The 22,323-nt window shown below is 36.6% G+C and overlaps 1 long non-coding RNA gene across 1 annotated transcript in view; it reads left to right on the top strand.

Moving 5' to 3' along the window:
• Nucleotides 1–9,777, top strand: part of LOC105377358 (uncharacterized) — a 46,845-nt gene extending 37,068 nt beyond the window's left edge. The window contains exon 3 of the long non-coding RNA XR_939059.3: nt 6,370–9,777. This is a non-coding gene — a long non-coding RNA (uncharacterized LOC105377358). The remainder of the gene's footprint in view (nt 1–6,369) is intronic.
• The last annotated feature ends 12,546 nt before the right edge of the window (nt 9,778–22,323 follow it).

Below are 22,323 nucleotides of genomic sequence, written 5' to 3'. Positions count from 1 at the left end.
GACCTTTGGCAGAAATGATGAATGGAGACACCTAATGGTGGTGATCAAACTCTTAAGATATAGATACTCACATCTGTGAGCCTTTCAATTAGCATAAAGTCAGCTTGTTTTCCTCTATCCTGTGACATTTTCTTTCAAGTGTTTGAATTTGGTAAACTTGCAATGTGTCTTGTTAGACACTTTTGCCTGTAATTCTTCAAAACCATGTGTGACCTAATCCATATGCTTTTCATTCATTTATAATCAAATCATCAAAATACAGCCTTTACAGAGCTATTTGATTTCAAAGAACATTTTTTAATAAGCATTTAAAGCCTTTTGAGAATAAAAACGGGATGCCACATTTTTCCAAGGAGCAAACACAACACAACCAAAAACACACTTACACCTACAGAAATCCAAGCTTCTGGGTTTTAATTCTTCTCTATTTATGGTTAAATGGGCCATCCCCTATCTCACTTTAACTCCTGGTGAAGCATGAAGTGTTTTGATATGAGGAAGTAGTATTTCTCAAATTACTATTTAAAAATAGATTTAGCTACTATTTGGGCAGCTCATATTAAGACCTGAGGGCCAAGAGACCCAGAGGGGTCTAAGGGAAGAGCCTGGAAAACTGGCAGCAGCCCCTGCTCTCCTTAGTTAGGAGTCCACTAATTTCACAATTGTCACTCTAATCATGTGTCAGAAATACCTGCATGACTTTAAAAGGCTGCATGTATGTTTCTGTGAGCTCTGGGCTCTACAACTGTGGGAAAAGTTACATAATGAGATGAGTTTCTTGGCTTCTGGAGGCTTAAGTTGTACTGTGATGCTCTCATACTTGGGGAGAGGTCCATTGCATGCCTCCATGTACAGTCATACCTGACTCTCATGTCTCACTGTACTTTCGGGATGATCTACTCTAAATAACAAAGGATAAAAGAAGTTGTCTGAAATATTTGCTTGTAGGTTCAATTTTGTTTTAGTAATTTTGTGAGAAATTCATTATAAAATCAACGAAGGAGCGTCACATGGCTTTTGTGTGGAATGTCTATTAAGTAGAGATAGCATATACTTCTTCCTTACTCCCTAATTTTTAGAGAAATATTAGCCTGAGGTTGCAGAGTAGATCATTTGGGTGGCAGAAATAGGATGTGGCTGTCAAGGACTATGCAAAAATACTTTTTTAAATCTTTTTAAAAGCTATGGGGGTAAGAACATATTACCAACTGGTAGGTAAAAATGAGAATGAATTCATTATTTAAAGACACTAATATGGACTTTTCCTCATCCCTACATTGATACAAATCCAAGTTCTTATTAATTCTCTCTCCAAAACATTTCCTGTATCTGTCCATATCTCCCCAAGTTCATTTGTATTCTTAGGATTCTCCAGAGAAACAGATCAAGAGAAAAAATAGATAATTTATCCTAAGGAATTGGTTCACATGATTGTGAAGGCTGACAAGTTCCAAGATCTATGGTTGGCAACCTGGAGACCATGAGAGCCGAGATGTAGTTCCAGTCTGAAGGCTGGTAGGCTTGAGATCCAGAAAGAGCAGATTTTTCAGTTTGAGTCCAAAGGCAGAGAATACCTATGTCCCAGCTTGAAGGCAGTCAGGCAAGTGGAGTTCTTTCTTATCTGAAGCTTTTTGGTTCTATTCAGGCCTTCAACTGATCAGATGAGGCCAACCCACATTAAAGAGGGCAATTTGCTTTACTCAGTCTACCAATTCAAATGTTAACCTCATCCTGAAACACTTTCACAGACACACTAAGAATAATGTTTGACCATATGTCTGGGCACTTTATGTTCTACCTAGTCAAGTTGACACATACAGTTAATTAACCATCACAGTACTGTAATCAACACCATCATCCTATCTTGACTATTGTCATAGTTTCTAATGGGTCTCCATACTTTTCCTCTTGTTCCTCACAATTCATTTTCCACACCACAGCCAGAAATATATTAGATTATATCTCAGAATAGCTTGCTTGTTTGTAAATTCTCATTAGTTTTAGAATAAAATCTAAACTCCTTACCCTGGGCCTGACGTTCCTTGCCAACCTCTTCAACCTTTTGTGCTACATGACTTTTGCCTTGCTGGCCTTTTTTTCTGTCAATAAAATACTCAAAGTCCTTCTCATGTCAGGGTTTTTGGTACCATTTCTCCTTACCTCTCAGCAGGGTTGCCTGCTTCTCTTCTGTTAAGAGTGGGCTCAGATATCACCTGCCCAGAAGGACTTTTCCTCACTACCAGATGAAAGCAGCCCTCGTGTCTTTCCTCACCTCCCATTCCAACTCTTCTCCATCACTCAGTTTATTTTGTTCATTGCATTTATTATAATCTATATTTCCTTACTTACCAATTTACTTATAGATTATCTGGATCCTTCACTAGACTGAAAGCTTCTTGAAGTCAGAGACTGGGTCAATCTTGCTCTCCACCAGCTGTCTTATGCCCAGCCCACACTTGGCCCACTTACCCTGCATTGAATAAACACTTGTTGAATGAACAAATGAAGGTGTCTGCTTTTACTGGGGTATTCTGAAGTGTTTTTTTGGTTTTGTTCTTGCTTCAGGTATCAAATAAATATTCTGCCAACTGGTATTTAGTATTGGAGTGAGCAAATTTATAGAAATGTGAAACATAAAAGACCAAGAAAGAGGAAAAGACAGAGTTATTTCTAGAAATAAGAAATAAAAATAAGTTCATAGAAAATTTTGTTTTCTATTTTATTTGTTCCAATTACATTATTTATCTTTAAAGAAAAAATTTTCTAGATTGTCAAAATCCAGACTTTTCCAGGAATACATTACGTTAATGTAGGGTTAGTCCTTCCCTACAAGAAGCCTTAACTGACTTTACTTGTGGTTGTCCATTCCACAGAAGGTTTCCCTGCTCTCATATTCATGAGCAAGAAAGAATAATGTTGGTCTCTAGTGCTTAGATGAATGACCAACAATTATCTGATGCCTACTGACCCATGAATTTTTGCAAATTTTTTGACTTTAAAAATTGGTAATATTAGAGGATGACATAGTTCAAGCTATAAATAGTAAGGCCCATATTATAAGCTAAGCTCATCCCAAAGTCATTCTTTTTCAGGAGCAGTAACAACAATTTCACTGGCCTTCTGGAGTAGTGCTCTCTCTCCCCTAATGAATTTCACTGATCCTTTGTCCTCCCCCTTGCCCTTCCTTCAAATGTGAGCCAACAGATGAAGTTGGCACCTGGAATTGCTGACAAACGAAGAACTGGGTGAAACAATTCATGCCTGTTGTTGGCATGCTGCAGGGCATTGAGACAAAGACGTAAAGGGGGGAGATGTGCCCAGTTTAGAGACTGAGCAGGCTTCAGAGGTGGAAAAAGAGGCTTTAGGCAAATAACAGCTCGACTGTGGGGTCAGAGCCCCAGGATTACCCAGCGTTATGATTTCACACGTTTAAAGCAGGACCAGCACATATCTGCATGGAATTTGAAAGTTTTTCTGGCACATCTGGTGTTTGGCATCTTCAGAAACACAACCTCTGCTTCAGTTCACTCCAGCTGTTCTACGGCAGAGGCCTTTAAAAGTGTGGTCCTGGGACTAACAACATCAGAAGCACCTAGGAACTTTTTGGAAATACAAATTATTTACCTTGCTATGCAAAATATACTCAATTGGTAATGAGGGCAAAGCCCAGCAGGCTGTGTTTAACAAGCTTTCCAGGTGATTAGGACAGACACTAAAGTTTGAGAACCACTGTTCTAGAGCCCTGATTCAGTCTTCCATCTCAAAGACATATTTTCAGGAGAGGTATGAGCTGTCATTCATATCTTAGTATGAATGAGTTTATAAACTCATTTATCTATATTATGTGTGTATATATAGAGACACACAGTTTGTGTGTATATACATATATATGTGTATATACACACACAACTAATTCATACTAAGATATGTTTGGTAGCCTCAATTAAGGATTAAAAAATTTTAGTTGTCAGAAAGAAGTTTCTTTTCTTTTTCCTTTTTAAAAAAGCAATAGATAATTTTCCCACTGCCCCTGAAACTCAGCCACTGGAATGATATCTCTTCTCTTACAAACCAGAAATATCCCTGAAGAGTTTTTCTAGTGAGATTAGGAGCTACAAGCTTTTTGCCAGTCAAATTAGAACCTGCACAGCTCATGATTTGTTTATGCTAATTCATGTTATGAGTACTTTGAGCATTTTAAAAATGCTATTTTCTGGTTAATGCCTTTTCTTTCATGATGGGATATTACGATGATAAGAAATTATAAACGTGAAGTATACTGTTATAAGATTTTACTACATATTTGTTCCTTATTTTAGAGCTAATTGTAGTTAGAGGTGACTTTGGAACCAAAACAACCAGGGTCCAAATTTGCAACCTACTAACTGAGAAAACTTGGGCAAGTTGCTTAACTTCTCTACAACTTCGTTTTCATATTCCTCATCTATCCCAGGAAGATAAAAGATTTCCCTTCTGGGGGTGTTGTAAAATTTAAATGAGAAAACATGGGAAGCATTTTGCCTGCTGCTCAATATATGATCATTGTTATTATTTGGTAGAATCGGGTAGCTGGTGACTTAAGAATAACAAACATGCGCACACACACGTGTTTGTGTGTGTGTGTGTGTTGGGGATAGTGCTGACCATTCAGTACTTTTAAAAGAGAAACAGGATTTTGTTTAGAAAGTGACTTTCCAGGAAGCCATTTTACTCTTAATCACCAGCTTCTTCTAGTCCACAGTACTTATTTCTATTTCATTTTAACAGAATGATGCCTGGGATAGCTTTTAAATTAAATTCTCACTTTTTACACTCTATCTTCCTAGACTTTAAGATAGGTTATTAGCGAGACTGGCAGGCCAGCCGATTGACTTTCAACTTTGTTTACAAGCTGAGCTTCCTGGAAACCGGATTCCTTACAAGAATACAAGCTGAGCTTCCTGGAAACCTGATTCCTTAGAAGAAATTGACAAATGGGATCTAATTAAACCAAAGAGCTTCAGCACAGCAAAAGAAACTACCATCAGAGTGAACAGGCAACCTACAGAATGGGAGAAAATTTTTACAATCTACCCATCTGACAAAGGGCTAATATCCAGAATCTACAAAGAACTTAAACAGATTTTCAAGAAAAATCAAACAACCCCACCAAAAAGTGGGTGAAGGATATGAACAGACACTTCTCAAAAAAAGACATTTATGCAGCCAACAGACAAATGAAAAAATGCTCATCATCACTGGCCACCAGAGAAATGCAAATCAAAACCACAATGAGATACCATCTCATACCAGTTAGAATGGCAATCATTAAAAAGTCAGGAAACAACAGGTGCTGGAGAGGATGTGGAGAAATAACATTTTTACACTGTTGGTGGGACTGTAAACTAGTTCAACCATTGTGGAAGACAGTGTGGCAGTTCCTCAAAGATCCAGAACTAGAAATACCATTTGATCCAGCCATCCCATTACTGGGTATATACCCAAAGGATTATAAATCATGCTGCTATAAAGACACATGCACACATATGTTTATTGAGGCACTATTCACAATAGCAAAGACTTGGAACCAACCCAAATGTCCATCAATGATAGACTGTATTAAGAAAATGTGGCACATATACACCATGGAATACTATGCAGCCATAAAAAAGGATGAGTTCGTGTCCTTTGTAGGGACATGGATGAGGATGGAAACCATCATTCTCAGCAAACTATTGCAAGGACAGAAAACCAAACACTGCATATTCTCACTCATAGGTAGGAATTGAACAATGAGAACACTTGGACACAGGGTGGGGAACATCACACACTGGGGCCTGTCGGGGGGTGGGGGTGGGGGAGGGATAGCATTAGGTATATACCTAATGTAAATGACGAGTTAACGGGTGCAGCACACCAACATGGCACACATATACATATGTAACAAACCGGCACATTGTGCACATGTACCCTAGAACTTAAAGTATAATAATAAAAAAAAAAATACAAAAATTTCTTTCCTTAACTTGCTAACAGATGTGCATGTAAGGCTCATTGACCCCCATGGGCTTTAGCTGAATTGAGGCACTTTCGAAGCTCCTCTGTGATTAGCGAGACCTTGAATAATAGTATTATGCAATCAATAATAGTGATTGACTTAATTGTCAATCATTTGGTTGAATTAGTGTTTAAATTTAGCTAATTAGGTTAAATTTAATGGTGGGATTGTGTATACAAGCAGATAATTCAACGAGTTAACATAAAAAACCAAAAGTTACACAACTGTTCTGAGCATGTGTTGGGAGAAGAAAATAGCTTTGACTGGGTGTGCCTTCCAGATTGAGCCTTTTTTTTTTTTTTGCCTCCCGGCCCCTTTTTTTGTATGCTTAGATCCTGGGACTCCTTGAGAAGACAGCCCTGAATTGAGCAAATCCATCTCCCTCTTCTTAGATACCTGCCCATGAGAAACTGCCCTGTCATTAGTTGTCTCAAGTCCCAGCTTGCCTTCAGAATACTGTGGAGCCGCCCACATTGAAAGGAAGTGAAGCAAAAGAAAACTCTTCAGACTTGAAAGTCAAGAGTAATGCAACAGTATGATGATTCTGGGATTATTTTCATAAGGAACTGGCTGACTGAGCATCCTGGTTCCAGGCTTCACATTGTAGCTTCTTTTGTCTGTCAGCTTGTTTGAAAGGGCTGTGGTGAAATTTTTAATAGTTGTTTTTAAAATCTTGTTTATAATGACCTTGCAGAAACTGGAAACTTTTCTTTGTACCAGTTTTGTCCTTTTCTATTTTGCAAAGAGCGCTTTCTGTATTTCCAATGGAACTTTTAAATTTTAAAAAAATACTATATTGACAATTTTGGTAGGAATGAATACCTAGTTTTTGATTCAATGCTCATCCATTATTTACTGAGGACTTGTCAATCCACTTTGCTTGTAGTTAAGTGACAATTGTGTTCAATGGAGGCACAGAGTGGTGAGGCTGTGGTACTGGTTTACTTATCAGAAAACATGGTCTATTAATGCAAAGGAAGATATTGCTCAAAAAAGGAGGGTCTCTGAGAGATGTGTAAGCTTGAGGCCAACTCCCTAATTTGAATCTTTGAATGATTTTTAAGGAGGATTGTCTCAAAAAAGTTTAAATAACTCTTCAGGGTATACAGATAGAAAGTAGATTGTGAAGGCCTTTGGGGTCATATAATCAAGAGTTTAGTTTTTGCATCATACTAATGTAGAGAAGTTCATTCACTTTGAGAACTTCATTGATCTCCGAGTCTGTTGGGCCTACCATAGTTTGTGCCTTAGAATTTTTCAGATATTTCTGAGGTCAAGTTTACACAGAAAATCCCATATAGTATTGATGAGAAGTAGATGTCATTGTATTAGAGGAGAGATGTGTATCAAGGCTAGTTGGTAGAACTGGGATATATCAAAATAAAACTATAGCTTAAGGGTTAAAAGCCACATTTGGATGAGGTAGACGGTCTTATGAAAGACATTAAAGCTGGGTTCTCAATTTTAGTTTCACGTTGAATTAATACTCAAGTATATCGGGCTGGGGATTTTGAGTGGAAGTACCTTTAGGAATAAAGTAAGTCTGGCCAGTGAGATATAGAGAAAGTGTTCTGCCCTGTTTCTGCGTACTTGTAACCTGAGAATGAGATAAGGTTTCTGCAAAGATTTAACTGTTCCTGCATTACACTGGCTTGGCATTTTCTTTTGTTAATCGTATTATGGAGAGATAATAATTATATAAATACATGGGTTAATATTCAGGAAAGATGCAAAAACCTGATTAGGTTAGCTCCACCTTGAGGGAAATTTGGCAAAAGTGACTGAAAGGGAGAAAGATGAAAAATTATAGGTGATGGGCCTGTGTTGTATGTTATAGGATTCATTGAGTCTGTGGGTTCAAGTGCTTCTGGGTACTGTGCCTTCTGCTTATTTCACCCACTACTGGGTTGCAACCAATATACCAAATCAGCACTTGCAAATCTGCTGGCCTCACTGGTTCTAGCTGTATGCATTATTTCCTGGAAGGGGCTTCATATAGGAAAGGAAGTTCATTCTCTTGGTAAGTTGGCTTCTGACTAGAGTCCTTATAGCTGCCTACTGCTTAGATTGAGCTGCTTGTCCCTTGTCATTATCCAGGAGAGTTGAACCTAGAGGAGAGTAGAGGGAAGAAGAGTAAATTTCTGTTAGAAGAAGCTAACACCTATAAAATGTGTATTAGAGAGATAGGTCTGGATTAGAGCCCTAGCTCTGCTTTTTAGCAATGATGTGACCTTGGGCAAGTTAATTTACTGAAACCAGTTGCTTTACCTTTAAAATTATAATATTATCTAATATTTATATATTCTGTGTTCAAGGCACTGTGTTAAGCACTTGCCAAATGTTATTAACATAAGATAAAGATTATTATTTTTCCCATTTACAGATGAAAAAGAAAAATGTTGGAGAAGTTAAATAACTTGTACCTGGTCATGCTGCTAGTGGGTATTAGAGTTCAGAGCCTGGATTTGGACCCAGGTGCTTGGACTCTGATGTGTATTCTACTGACCACCACAGTATACGTCATGGGATTGTTGTTTACAAGCTTATGTCTTAAAATGTACAGATATGCAAATGGTCTAAAGCATGTAGCCCAGTATATAACACACAGTAAACACACAATCTTTATTAACCATTATTACTATTGCAAATCAAGTGCTATATATATTTTAATGTACACAACCTCTATCCTAAAATTAGAATTGTTAGATTGGGAAACTAGGAGTCAGATGGGTTAAGTTCATATAGCTGGTAAGAGATTTAACCTGTGATTTAAACCAGGTTTTTCTGACTCTAGAGACCATGTACTTTCTCCTCTACCAGTAGTTTGTGACATGTAGTATGGAGATTTCTGAGGACTCAGAATTAGTAAGAAGGCTCTACACATCTACGGTTATGCTAAGCATTGTTGTAGACAGAAAGTATAATCTATGTCACATGTATATGTACTATTTTAGATGTATGGTTTGATTAACACACAGAAATCTATTCTTGTAATTAAGAAAATGTAGCTTCATTAATAGGACTATTAATCCATGATGTATTCTTGTCACTATATATTTTTCTCAGTGTTCAAATACCAAAATTACAGTTACTTTTAAGTGGAAATGCATAGATATTTTTGAAGTTAAAAGAATCTTTATATTTGGAAAGTTTTAGATGTAATAAACCACATGAGTTCATAATCCTCCATGATTATAGGACTATGTCTATCATACATGAACTGGCTTGTACATATTTCCTATTGTAAGTGAAAGAGTCTTAGAGTGAGGTAACTATAGCATGCTGCACAGACACAGTGGGAGAAGGAACGGAAAGCTCTATTGGGTGTTTCGTTCATGGATTCACACCATAAATACCTTACAATAGTTTTAATGGAGAAAGAAACACCCAGAGGAAATTAAAAAGCAACAGTTTTGGCTATGAAAATGTGAATACCTAAATTGCTAAAGCCTTTTGTAGGATTTGAGAAGTGTGATTTATATTAAAAACAATGGGAATCATATGGCCCTCACCCAGAGAAAGTGTGTGAGAATTTCTCCCTCAGGGGTCAGATGAATTACAGGCCTTTGAAAAGAGGAAATTTTGAGTTAATTTTTCATTTTAGCATTACATTGGGGATTATTGAAGGGAAGAAAATCCGATTACTGTATAGGATGGTAGGCAAGAAAAGAAGCTAAGCAAGTTTTTACTTGTATCTTCAATGGTGTGGTGTTTCATGAATAAACACTTTGAGATATCTATCAACTCTCTCCTTAGTGCCACTTATTTGATTTTAAGCCTCACTTCTAACTTGGACTGTGTATTGTATTTGTAATCTAATTTTTGGTCTGGTTTCAGTGATTATTTAAATCATGGTTGTTGACACAGAATTACAGTGAAAAGCCCTTGAGTGAGTGAGTAATGAGAATCACCATAGCCTCTAACTCTTCATTTAGGGTAAGAATTTCAAATGTTCTTTTAGGTTTGGAGCCTTTTCTTCAAGTGAAATCTAATTTAGGTCCAGTGTATACACAGACGAGAGTGGAGGTGTTCTGATGGAATCAGTGAACCCCATCCACTGCCAAACATCATTTCTTGATGCCCTACCCCCATTCCAGCCTTTGGGACACTCTGGAGGAATGCCTAGGTCTGGTAACCACACTTTAAAAAGCACTGCTCTGTTGCCTTTCAAGTCATTTACAAGGATACATTTCCTACCCAGTTATTTCCCAAACAGATTTTCATTTTGGTAGAAAGTCGAATGTGCATATCATTTTTCTGCCTTCTTTCTGAAAGAGTGATTAGTTATCACTCAAGAGATAATAGCTTTCTCATGGTTTGTCAGTACCAACTGATTGCAAGAAATGAATTCCTAATGATTGAATGCCTTATTATATAGCATTGTGTTTCTATTCAATGAAGGATATTGACAGAGAGTGGAAAAACTATAGTAATATAATATCAAAGTGAACTTAATTAATAATAGAAATCAGGGTACTGTTTATTAAGCACATGGAATATATGCCAGGTACTCTACCTATATTTTTTACTCATTTGATTCTTATATCATCTCTATGAGCTGGTCATTATTACTTCCCGAGGTCATTATTACCTCATTATTACCTCTATTCACAAATGATGGGATTGAGGTGCTGGGAGCCCAAGGTAACACGCTAGTAACTGGCAGAGCTGGGATGCCATCCTAGTTGTCTCCGGTTTCATGCCTGTACTCTTTCCACAAAGCCACTTGTCTTTATATATGTGCTGATTTATATATTCTGCCAATGTGCTTCAAATTGGTTTGTATATATTTGTACACACACACACACCCCTCCTCCAAAACAGTGCTCAGAGTAAAAAAGTTATATTAAAATCAGTTATAGTCTGATAGAATCTCAAATTATAAAAGCAGTCAATCATGTACAATTTGTGACTGAAATGATAATTTTTACCTTATTTTGAAGTTTCTCCACAAGATATGTATTTTGATAATTTCTATAATAATTTATGTGGTTAATACAGTATTCTAGGGAAGCAATTAATGCTATAGGTTAGGGTATAGGGTAAAGAAAAAAGATGGATAGAAAGTTGAAGAGCTGAACTAGCATTATTAAACAAGTCGATATTTGGGAAATTGAATATGCGTGTGTGAGTGCATGTGTGTGTTTGTGTGTGTGTGTGTGTGTGTGATATGTACACATTAATGCAGTATAATAAATGGTACAAGATTTATCTTTGTTATTGTTGACCTTGCATTGTCCATGCATCATGACGTCTCTCATTTTAGAAAAACACCCCTCTTGATCTCATCTTTCCTTGAAGCTGATACCCCATTTCTCTATTTCCTATTTAAGAAAAACTCTTGGAAAGGACCCCTCCCCTCTGTTGAAAGAACTCCAGTGTGCACATCCTATGGTTAATTTTCTGTCCGTGTTTTACTAGGTTCTCAGCATCATTAAACACACTACATCACTTCTTTCTGGAAACTCTTTTTTCTCTTGGCTTCCATGGTGCTACACTCTCCTAACCTGCTGACTCTTATCTCCTTTGTTGTTTTTCCTCCCTGTTCTGAAAGGTCACCATCCAGTTCTTGCCCAATTCTCCTGTATTGTTTACCTCTCTCCTTCTCCCACTCTCCTCCTGCAACCACACTGACCTTGCTGATTCTTGACCACACCATGCCTCTCCTCCCTTAAATCCTCTGTGTTTGCTTTCCCCTCCATCTGATACACTTTTCCCTTATACATCTGCAAGTCTAACTCCCTCATGTCATTTAGGTCGCTGCTCAAATATTGTTACTCTACTCTCTATCCCAGAGTCATTCTGAAATCCCTTGTTCTGCTTTATTTTTCTTTAAAAATGATCATGCTCTGAAATTATGTAATTATTTATTTACCAATTTTGTTTATCTACCTTGCTAGACTATAAGCTTCTCTAGGGCATGGACTTGGTCCATCTTGTACACTGCTGTATCTCTAAAGAGTAGAACAATAGTGGCATTTAATAAGTGTTCATAGATCTTTAATAAAGTAATACATTTATGAGTTAAGCAGCTCCATGTGGAATGACAATGCTTTTTACTAATTTTATACAAACTAGGCTCACTCCTGGTTTCTAATTTTCGTTTTGTTAGTTTTGCAGTGGCTACTTTAGAACTAATACATTAAATTTATTCCAAAAGAAGCCAATAAATTTCAGATGTATGGTGTGATTAACACATGGAAACCTGTTCTTGTCATTAAGAAAGCATAGGTTCATTAATAGGACTATATAATCCATGATGTTTTATAATTTAATTGTAATGAAATTTATAAGCTTAATCCTGATTTTATAACTTTGTACATTGTCTGTTCAGATTTCAATTTCATCCTCTTCCTATGTGTATGTCTTTTAACGTAAGAGTCATACTTTGAAATAAAGGGGATGTACATTCATACATATTTGAGTCCACAGTGATATGTTTAGGTTAATTACGTTGTTTTATGTAAGCATAAGCACATACATACACATTCACCAAGGCACAAAGCCCATGAAGAAATTGAAGCCAGATGATACACAAAGAAATCCCCAAAGGGAAAGCACCAATCTGTCATTCAGAAGAGTTTCCACACTATATAAAAGATACACAGACTGGCCTCCACAGTAGCTGAAGGATAGATTTTGCTGTTCTAAATGATAACTAGGAAACCACTAGTCCACCAAGAATTTTTTCATTAGGCAATTAACCAGATGGGAAAACATGTTAAATTAGTACTATTAAACAAGGTAATTAAGTAAATAGTTCATTTTATAACATAATGGACAACTTATATGTATTACTTTCTAATAAGATAGCTAAAGTCTATTATCAGAGCTTTTCTTGGAACAAGGTCATAATTTATTAATTCAATTCCATTGGAGACATCAGTAAGAAATCACATAAAAAGTGCAAAAAGATGTATAAGACAGATATTTCTTCACTATTTTAGAGAGGAAAATCTCAGGTGTGACCATATGTAGGTATTTCTCCAAGTTAGACATGTCTATCTAAAATAGTGGGTTTCAAACAGCTCTTTAGACTCATTCCCATTGAAGTGGTGGTAGTAACATTTCTGAATTAAAAGATTAGATGGTCATATTTTACTTGTTACACTGTAATGAGTGATTATCTTTATAATGTAATATAAAGGTTACATTAAATTTGTTACAATGTAATAAGTACAACATATATCTCTGACTATTCCTTCCCCATTCTTTTATTTTTTCTAATCTTGGAAATTCCTTAAGTATACATTACTTTTGTAAATAGAGGAAAAGTGTGCTTGAGAATTGAGAGAACTGTTAGAAAACAGGTTGAAAATTTTCTGTGTGGGAGTCATATTATTGTTCAAATATCCTCCCCAACCTGGTGTGCCATATACAGCCAATCAAATCAAGTTTGCATAATTAGGAAACCTCTAGACGCAGAGGTATCCATGATTGAGTTTCCTAGATGTTCAAATGTAAAACAGATGAAGTGGCTTCTTTACACAGACAGTTCTGTTTATTCATAAATGTAAAGGAGTATGCCCATTGTAAATTTAGCAGACTCTAAAATATAAGTGAATTCTCAGAGACTGAACAGGCACTCTGCTAAGAATGATATATGGCCTTCTCTGAGACAAGTAAGTGTGGTAAACATATAACTTCTGGTCACATATAGTTTGTCTGCCAGGTGATGCCTAACCTCACTCCATCCCTCATCCTCAACCCATCCCTGACCCCACTTCATTCCAGACCACCACTTAATCCTCACTTGCTACCCCAGGGGGTGGGGATCTACAACTGGGTGAGGTTCAATGTTGTGAAAAGGTTTTAGAATGGGAACACTATATCTGTTTCACACATTACTTGTTAACAGAAACAGCTGAAAGTTTAACAGTTTTTTTTTTGGGCTGTGTTTAAAAATCCCCTCCATGAAATAGCTGCATCAGTGCACAGCTGTGTCAAAATAGCCTTGTCAGGAATGCCATGTATGCACATTTTTTCCCCTCAAATTATTTCGGACAAATAACATGTTCCTATGTATTTCTTGTCTTCCCAGGTATACAGTAATGTATACTTTATAGCATATGCCTGGTAAATAAGTTTATAAAGCATAATGATAAAAATCTGATGCCCACTTGATACATTACTGTTCAAATTAAATCACAGTATCACTTTTTGAGACTCCATCCACCTGGGGTATCTCAGGCCATAGTCTATGTTTCTGAGCTTTATGGCTTTATTATTTAGAATTTAATATGCAAATCTGAAAATAATTAGTTACACCTTAAGAGAGAAGCCCTTTGATGAGTTTAGGAGATTAGAGAACAATTGCATGCACCAGAGCAAAAAACGATCAAGTTTTATTTAGGCTGTAAACATAAATTCAATAACCAATAACCAATAACCACCCTTTCTCCACTATTTGCATTGATTCATCTTTAAATCTCTATTGCTTTAAAAAAATATTTCACATTAGAAAGTAGAAATAAGTACACTGTATTTTCTAGTCTTTCCTAGAGGGGTACCCTAACATGATTTTAACTTGAAGTGAATGAAAGGAGTAGAGTGGAACTTAGTTGTTACGTACTACATTTTAAAAAGATCAGTTTGGGCCATGACTTAGATATTTATGATGAAATTTAGAATTATGCTTAATGCTATTTCAGGATGTATGCAAAGTGACATGAACAAGTATAAACTGTATGACCTTGGGTGAGTCACTTGACCTTTCTGAGGGTCTGCTATGGTTTAAATATGTCCCCTCCAAAATTCAGGTGTTGCCAATGTGGTAGTGTTAAGCATTAAGGCCTTTAAGAGGTGATTAAGCCATGAGAGCTGCTCCCTCATTGATGGAATTAAGGCTCCTATAAAAGGCACTTCAAGCAGCCTTTGAAGAAGCACCTAGCTTGCCCTCTATCTTCTGTTGTGTAAGGGCACAACATTTCTCCCTTCTCTGGAAGATTCAGCATTAAGACACCATCTTACGAAGTGGAAAGCAGCTTTCACTAGACAAATGAACCTGCCAGCACCTTGATCTTGGACTTCTCAGCCTCCAGAACTGTCACAAGTAAGTTTCTGTTCTTTATAAGCTACCCAGTCTCAGACTTTGTTATAGCAGCACAAGCAGACTAAGACAGGGTTCATGTACTCATCTTCAAAATGAAAATTGGAATATTTGCCACCCAGAGCCACAGGAAGTTTTAAACTTGGTATGTAAGGCCCTCAGTCCAGGGTAAATATTTCACCTTACATAGCACCTAACTTAACCTGGAGGGTCTCTGAGACTCTGTTTCTCTCTATTCATGGCCTTGAGTTGAGACTTCCTTTGTGTCTTTTTCCATAGCTCTCAAACTTTAACCCTGGTTTGCCTTGGAATGATATGATTGCCATTAGGAGAGTGTTCTTGGGAAGGTTTCAAGAGAAGCCTAAACCCAGCTCTTCTTCCCCAGCTGATGTAGAACCCTTGGAAGCAGCCAACAGCAGCCAACTGCAGCCAGTCCCACGCAGCTCTGGGACAGCTCAGACCCTCACTTAGTCCCTTGCTTCTCCAGGAAGTTCCCCAAACCCATTAGAGCAGGCTTGACTTGAGGCCTGGCTGGAGGCCTAGACTGAGTCTCACCATGACAACCTTCCAGACATCCTCATGCTTATCCAGACTCCACTTGTGAGTGTGCTGGGAGGGAGTGTATAGTTACACATTTAAAAATAAAAGCCCGAAATGCAGTTTAGGTAACACGCAGTGTGAATAAGATACAGAGTAAAAACAAAACAATTCAGAATTCTGCCTGTTCTCTTATAGAGGGTCGTGTTAGGGAATGGGGTTGGGGCAGAGTGGGGTGGAAAGGTGGCATTCAGGGTTGATTTGGAGAAAGGCTAGAAGAAAGAAAGACTGGAAGTTCTTTATGATTTCTATAACTTTACTATGATCAGTTCTATGTATTGTCCACTAAAATATATCCTGTGAAAGGGAGCTATTTCATATTATGTACAGGAAAATGGAAAATTTGCTTGTTTATCCCTATACTTGGAGATCTTTATAGAACATTTATTTTATTCTAAATTATTCTGAATTTTTGACTCACCTAACTCAGTGAAGGGCCCCACTGAAAGATTAATAGTTATTCTGTTTGATATATAAAATTGATAAATACAGTTCAGTTGAGTCAACTTTCTCATATTTCATGGCTTGTATATCAGATAACTTGTATCAGTGTTCTCAGCTTTGACTGCCCATTGGGGAGCTTTAAAAAATAAAACAACCCACTACTGCCTGGGGCTCAACCTCTGAGATTGGAATTTAATTGGTCTGAGAAGTGGCCTAAGGAGCAAGGGTTTTAAAGTTCCCAGGTGATTCTAATATTTAGCCAAGGTTTAGAACCTCTGGTCTAGATTAAAGATTAAAGTACTTGGCCTAAGCCTATTATTTATACAACCTGGCAAAAGAAAAACAAAATGAAGCTCTCTTCTACTCAATTCAGTGAATACTTGCAGAGAAGCTGCTCTCTTCAAAGCCCTTTTCTTTTAACTCTAGCTTTGCTGTTTTATGATTAGGTATCATTGGAAAGAAAAGAATCAGAATCTTACAATTTTATTGGTAAAATCGTGGTTAGAAGTAATGTAATCCAAGTCTACTGTTTTAATGAGAAGTATAAACTAATAAGAATGCAGAAAAGTTAGTGCGAAACTACCTTTATTAGTAAATATATAAATGGGGGAGGGAGAGAGAGAGGGAGAGAAAGAAAGCACGGAAAAATTTCTCAACAGATCATTAGACAGCATTTTATACATATTAAGCTGTGAGCCCTTCTAAGCACACAACTGACAAATCTCTCAGTGGGACTCAGAATAACTTGAATCTAAATAGATGTACAAAGGAAAACCAGTATCATGTCATTTGTCAACTTAGAAGGCATGCGAGGGAGCCCAGACTTTGGTTCTTCTCTCTACTTTTCTCTGTGTTTATTACTTTTCTTTTTCTCAAATCTATATATTGTTCTATTTAATAATTTGTCATTTTTCTTTGTTTAAAAATATTTTGCACAAACCTACAAAATTAGAAAAGAGGAATGACTACAGATAAAAAGAAAATTAAAATAATTTTAAGATAATAACTTAGACTTCTTCAGTATATTTAAATGTCTGCAACAAATGAATAAGTTTTTTTGAAAATATGAATTACCAACATTGTTCAGAAAGAGATAGAACAGTTAAGTAGACCATTTATTATAGAATAAATTGAAACATTTTCAAAAACAACTTCGTTTAGCTCAGATAGTTTAACAGGTGCATTTTAGCATATTTTCAAGGAATTTGTAATTCCAGTTCTATTTAAATTACTAAGTCCAGAGATAGTAGGGATGCTTCTAAATTTTTTTTAAAAGCTGTTATAGCAATGCTACCCAGACTATACAAAGATGGTACATTTAAGGAAACTCTAGATGAGTCTCCCTTATGAACATCTATACCAATACATTACTGTGACTGAAGACTTCAAATATTTGATTTTATTGGATTTTTAAATTTTTACTTTCAATTTGTTTTTCTTCTTCATTTTCCCCTTTGCCATAGAGCAGGTACTGAGTGCTATACTACTTTGCCTCTGGAGAAATTTGTGGCAATAAGGAAAGTCAAAGTTGCCTGCAAGACACTTTCTTTCTGGGTCTGGTCTCTAAAAGCTGGAGCCCGTTGAGGAGATATGTTAGGAGATGTGTCTTGGAGGTGGAGGAGAGGGCATCTGAGAGACATGGATGTGACAGGCTTTCTCATAGACTCTACTGTTAAGGGGAGGCTGAGGCTTGGGAGAGGGAAGTGGAGCTCTGTGGGCTCTGTGAACAGCAGAGACCTGCACCTGTTCCTGGCCCTGAGGGACACCTGCATAGTATCTGGTCTTGTCATTGTTCTACACATTAAACATGGCAGAGGAGGAGCAGAACCACTGCCAGGCATGGCAGGAGCATACAGGACAGTGTGATAACTGGTACTTAACCACCCTCCCCCTCAAAGACTTGGTCCTCTGTAAATCTTCGAGCCCTTTAATCTACTTAGGGGAGGTGATAGGGGGAACTTGGGATGAGGACAGGGAGTAAAAATTAAATAGATTTAAAGAAAATAAATAACATATGTATTACTCACCTGAGTGTTACACCATTATATTAGTAATTAAACCCTAATTCGCAATACTATAAATCTCAACAAAAAGTAGTTTATTTCAATAATGAAATAATTTTCAATTTTTGAAAATTTAGGGATGTAATTCACTATATAAATTTAAAATGAAAAACCATGTATTATAATTTTGAATGACAAATCAGTATATGACAAAAATTAACCCCTATAACTGCTTAACAAATATGTGAGTGTATGTAAAGTATATATTTTAGTTACATATGTTCTATGTAGTATATATCTCATGAATACATTCTTTATTTGCTCTTACTAAATAGAATTCTGAAGTGTTTTCCATGCTAATATGTAGAGAGCTTTTCAGTCTTTTTTATAGCCGTAAGATGGATATACCAGAGTTATCTAACCAGCCTCCATGGATGGATATTTTTAGTATACCCAAACTTTTGCTGTAAAAAATCAGTGCTGTAATGAGTAATCTCAAACATACATTTTCCCAAACTTTCTTACCCAGTTACCGACCTTGAAAGTTGCAATTCCTTCCACAGAGAAATACATCTTTTGACTTGCTATTTTAGGGTTAGAATTTTATTTCATGTGAAGAGATGCAAGTGCATTGGTTTAAGCAACTTATGCTAGATATATCTCTCTTAGGCCCATGTTTATAAATTCTGCTACTTCTCTTATCACTTCTCTAACTTGACAGAAAGACACACAATCTGCACATTTTAGCTTTCCTATAAAAAATTTCCAAACCATGGGAACAATTCATAATTTGAAATTAATCCTCTTTCTGTGGAACTGGGAAACCCTAGACTATTCTACAGCAAACAAGGCCAATTAAGTCAACAAACACCAGGGTACCTTACTGGTTGATAGTTTTCACAATGTACCCACCTTACTTAATCTCCTTAATGATGTAACTTAGTTCTTCTCCAGATAATTGGTAAAATTTGCCACTTCCAGTTGAAATAAGCAGACAGGAATTTTAGGGTCGTCAATTAGAACATATATTTAAAAATGTAATACACAAAATTCTGACTTACTATAATTCCCAATGGAATAAAATAAATGTTCACTGCTTGGCTATTAGGGTTAATGTTAGATGATCGAACACTGTATGCCTGAGTATGGAAATTGCCAATACCACATGGAGGCAGTAAACCTGGTTTCTTCCCTTATGCAAATCACTTCATATTTTGGCGACTACTAGCTATTAAAAAAAGACTTTTAAATGTGTTTTCCTAGGTGTCAAGGGATAAAAAATATCTGGTACAAGCCACTAGAACTTCATGTCTGAGTTAAGTAATGTAATTTTCTTATGAGCTTAGGTTACACATAATTAATGTTCTAAGGGGAAACAAAGGTCATTACCAGCATCTAATGTTAAATCTTCTAATGAATAATAAGAACTTTACTTCTTTAAATGACTTAATCATTCTCCGATTTTGTTTTCCCAAAGTATTCGTTCATAATTTCTTCTTGGCTCTTGGTATTATAAAAGTTAATGAGTCCCTGGGTTATCGCAAATATGTAGTAGATGACGTTTTAAAACAACTTTTAAAATAGTTTGGTCCTAATTCAGACATATATTTGTAAATCAAACAAATGCAAGTATATTTTACTTGTTATATTGCTAATACTGAATAAATTTATTCTGTACAATTCAGAGTAATCCATTTAGAGGTCTGGTAATATACCCTAAATGAAATAGACCCTATTTATATAGTACCCAGGGTTTCTATAGGAGAACACCTTCTGCAAAATGAACATTGGTAGTCAAATAGCCAAATACATTATATGATGAAAATAGTGTGTATAGCATGACTAGAAGCAGAAGTTCTAATACTGCATGGGTTATTTATTCTCTAGAAAGTGATAGTGAAGCAAGGTTGAGTTACTCATTTTTGTGTCTTTTCAACAATGGAAATTTAAAAATTCTTTACTGTGTGCTTTTTATATATCTTGGTCATTCTCCTGAGATCTAACTTATGGTCAGCAGACTACTTAGCAGTCCAGCTGGTAACCATATTTCCGAAGGCCATAGAATATAATCTGCTCAGTTCATAATGACAGAACAGATTTAGTAGAAGAATTTCCTCTGGATGTTAATAAATATCTGGCACATTATTTTCCCTACTTCTTTTGTCCCTTATGTCTTTAAATTGTTATTTTCCTGGGTCCACATAAAAATTTTTTGGATGTTCAATATTTAGTTGGTGTGTGTGTGTATGCATGTTTGGGAGGAGAATATGTTATATAAAAATAATCATATAGATAACAATCAAACTAAAGTTTTCCCCCTCTCTGATTAGCACTTCTTTTAAGTAATTTTTTTCTTCTCAGAGGGGAGGGAACCATTATTCTATACTTCATGTTGAACATGGCCTTGTGTGTCTGCAAATTGTACTATGGGAAAGTATTAGGAATAAGAAAACATGAGCTGATTTTTACCTTGTATGTACTTAACAACTTTCACATGAGGAGAGATCCTCACATTAGACAAAATATGATTAAAGGCAAACATTGAGTAGAGAGGATTTAAGCTAATGCCCTCCAGAATGTGGCATAGTCTTCTTTGTTGGTTTTAAGGGTTGCTTTTTCTTAAATTCTTTTTGGTTTAACACACATTTTCCTTTCTTTTTAGTACTTCAAATCGAGACATACTCAGTAAATCTTGTTCAGTAGAAAAGACCCTCATCTGTGTATGGTGGTGTAATGGAAAGAAACTGAACTGGAAGCTTGTTTTTTTGTATCAACATAGAGTATTTTCCACTTTCTTAGATTGGATAAAATAATACACAGCACACAGGAGAAAATGAAATGTTTGTTTAAAGTAAGCTAAGAAATACATTAAGTAATACATGAACATGAACTTGGTCTGGTAGAAATGTGCAGAACAGAAGCTTCAGGGTTTTTACACCTGGAAATCTCCTAGGGGGCTGTCTACAAGAAGATGCAGAAAAATGACATTATGCTTGCTGACTCAAATCCAACTTTACAACAGCATGGGTTTCAAAGTCCTGCCTTGTCTTCCTTCTTGGCCCAGGCACAGGTAAATTTCCGAAATGTCCTATTAAATTTCACCTTTCATCTTCTGGAGACTGTAAATGGCTTTGCCTGCTTGTCTAAAAAAAGAAAAGGAACTTAAACCTTTGTGTGGAATGTTTGCAGTAAGGACAAACAAGGAAGATCATGAGAATGATTTCTGCTGTACATAATAGAAAACTTTAATAAGGAAAAGGGATTTATTGGCTCACATTATTGAAAAAGCCCAGCGGTAGGACAGGCTGCAGGTGAGGTTTGGCCTGCGCACTTGCTGTGCTTCTCTGTGATTTACTCTGTCCTCACACCACTCAGCTTTATTCATACGTTGGCTTTGTCCTCATACTGTCTTTCTTTGTGGTCACAAGATAGCCTCAGCTTCCAGACTTCATATCCTCATAGTATATTTTTCCAGAGCTAGAGAGAACATCTGTCCAGGCCACATTGTCCCACAACTCCAGGGTATACGATTCACATGGAATATAATGTAAATTGTGGCTCCCAGAGTAGTGACAAATGGCAGCACTAGCATCTGCATCCCAGAATTTCCAGTAAAAATTATCTTGATTGTTCCTATATGTGAACCAGTATAGATCCCATATCCACCCATGAACCAGTCACTGTGTCATGGGAGCAAAATGCCTTGATTGGTTTAGTTTTGGAAAATGGAAGCCAACCCTGTAGAGAAAGTGTAAGATGCACTGGAACCACATGGATTTCCAAAAGAAAGTGGGGATTATTTTTAAGGGACAAGTGAAGAGCAGTAGCTGCAGAGGAAACTAAGAATATACTGCTTTAGATGTTTTGGAATAGAATTGTCTCTTTTGTCCCATGACAGCTACCTTGAGCACTCAGCCTTCCTGATACTTTTCAAGGTTCCTATCGCCCCTGTTTCCTTACTCTCTGTGAACTATTACATTTGATTTCTGCCTCTACCATTCTACTGCAACAGTTTTTGCCTTGTCAGATCCAATGGAGGCCTCCAAGTCTCAACATGCTTGACCTCTGCAGTATTTGATAATTGCATTATTTCTTCTTCTCTCTTGACTTTCTTGACATCATTCCTGGTCATCATCCACACTGATGACTCCCAGGAAAGTCATCCACTATTATTTAAATGCCTAAAGTGGACT

The sequence above is a fragment of the Homo sapiens genome, chromosome 4, assembly GCF_000001405.40.
Source record: "Homo sapiens chromosome 4, GRCh38.p14 Primary Assembly".
Lineage (NCBI taxonomy): Eukaryota > Metazoa > Chordata > Mammalia > Primates > Hominidae > Homo > Homo sapiens.
This window is presented reverse-complemented; position numbering and strand designations above follow the sequence as displayed.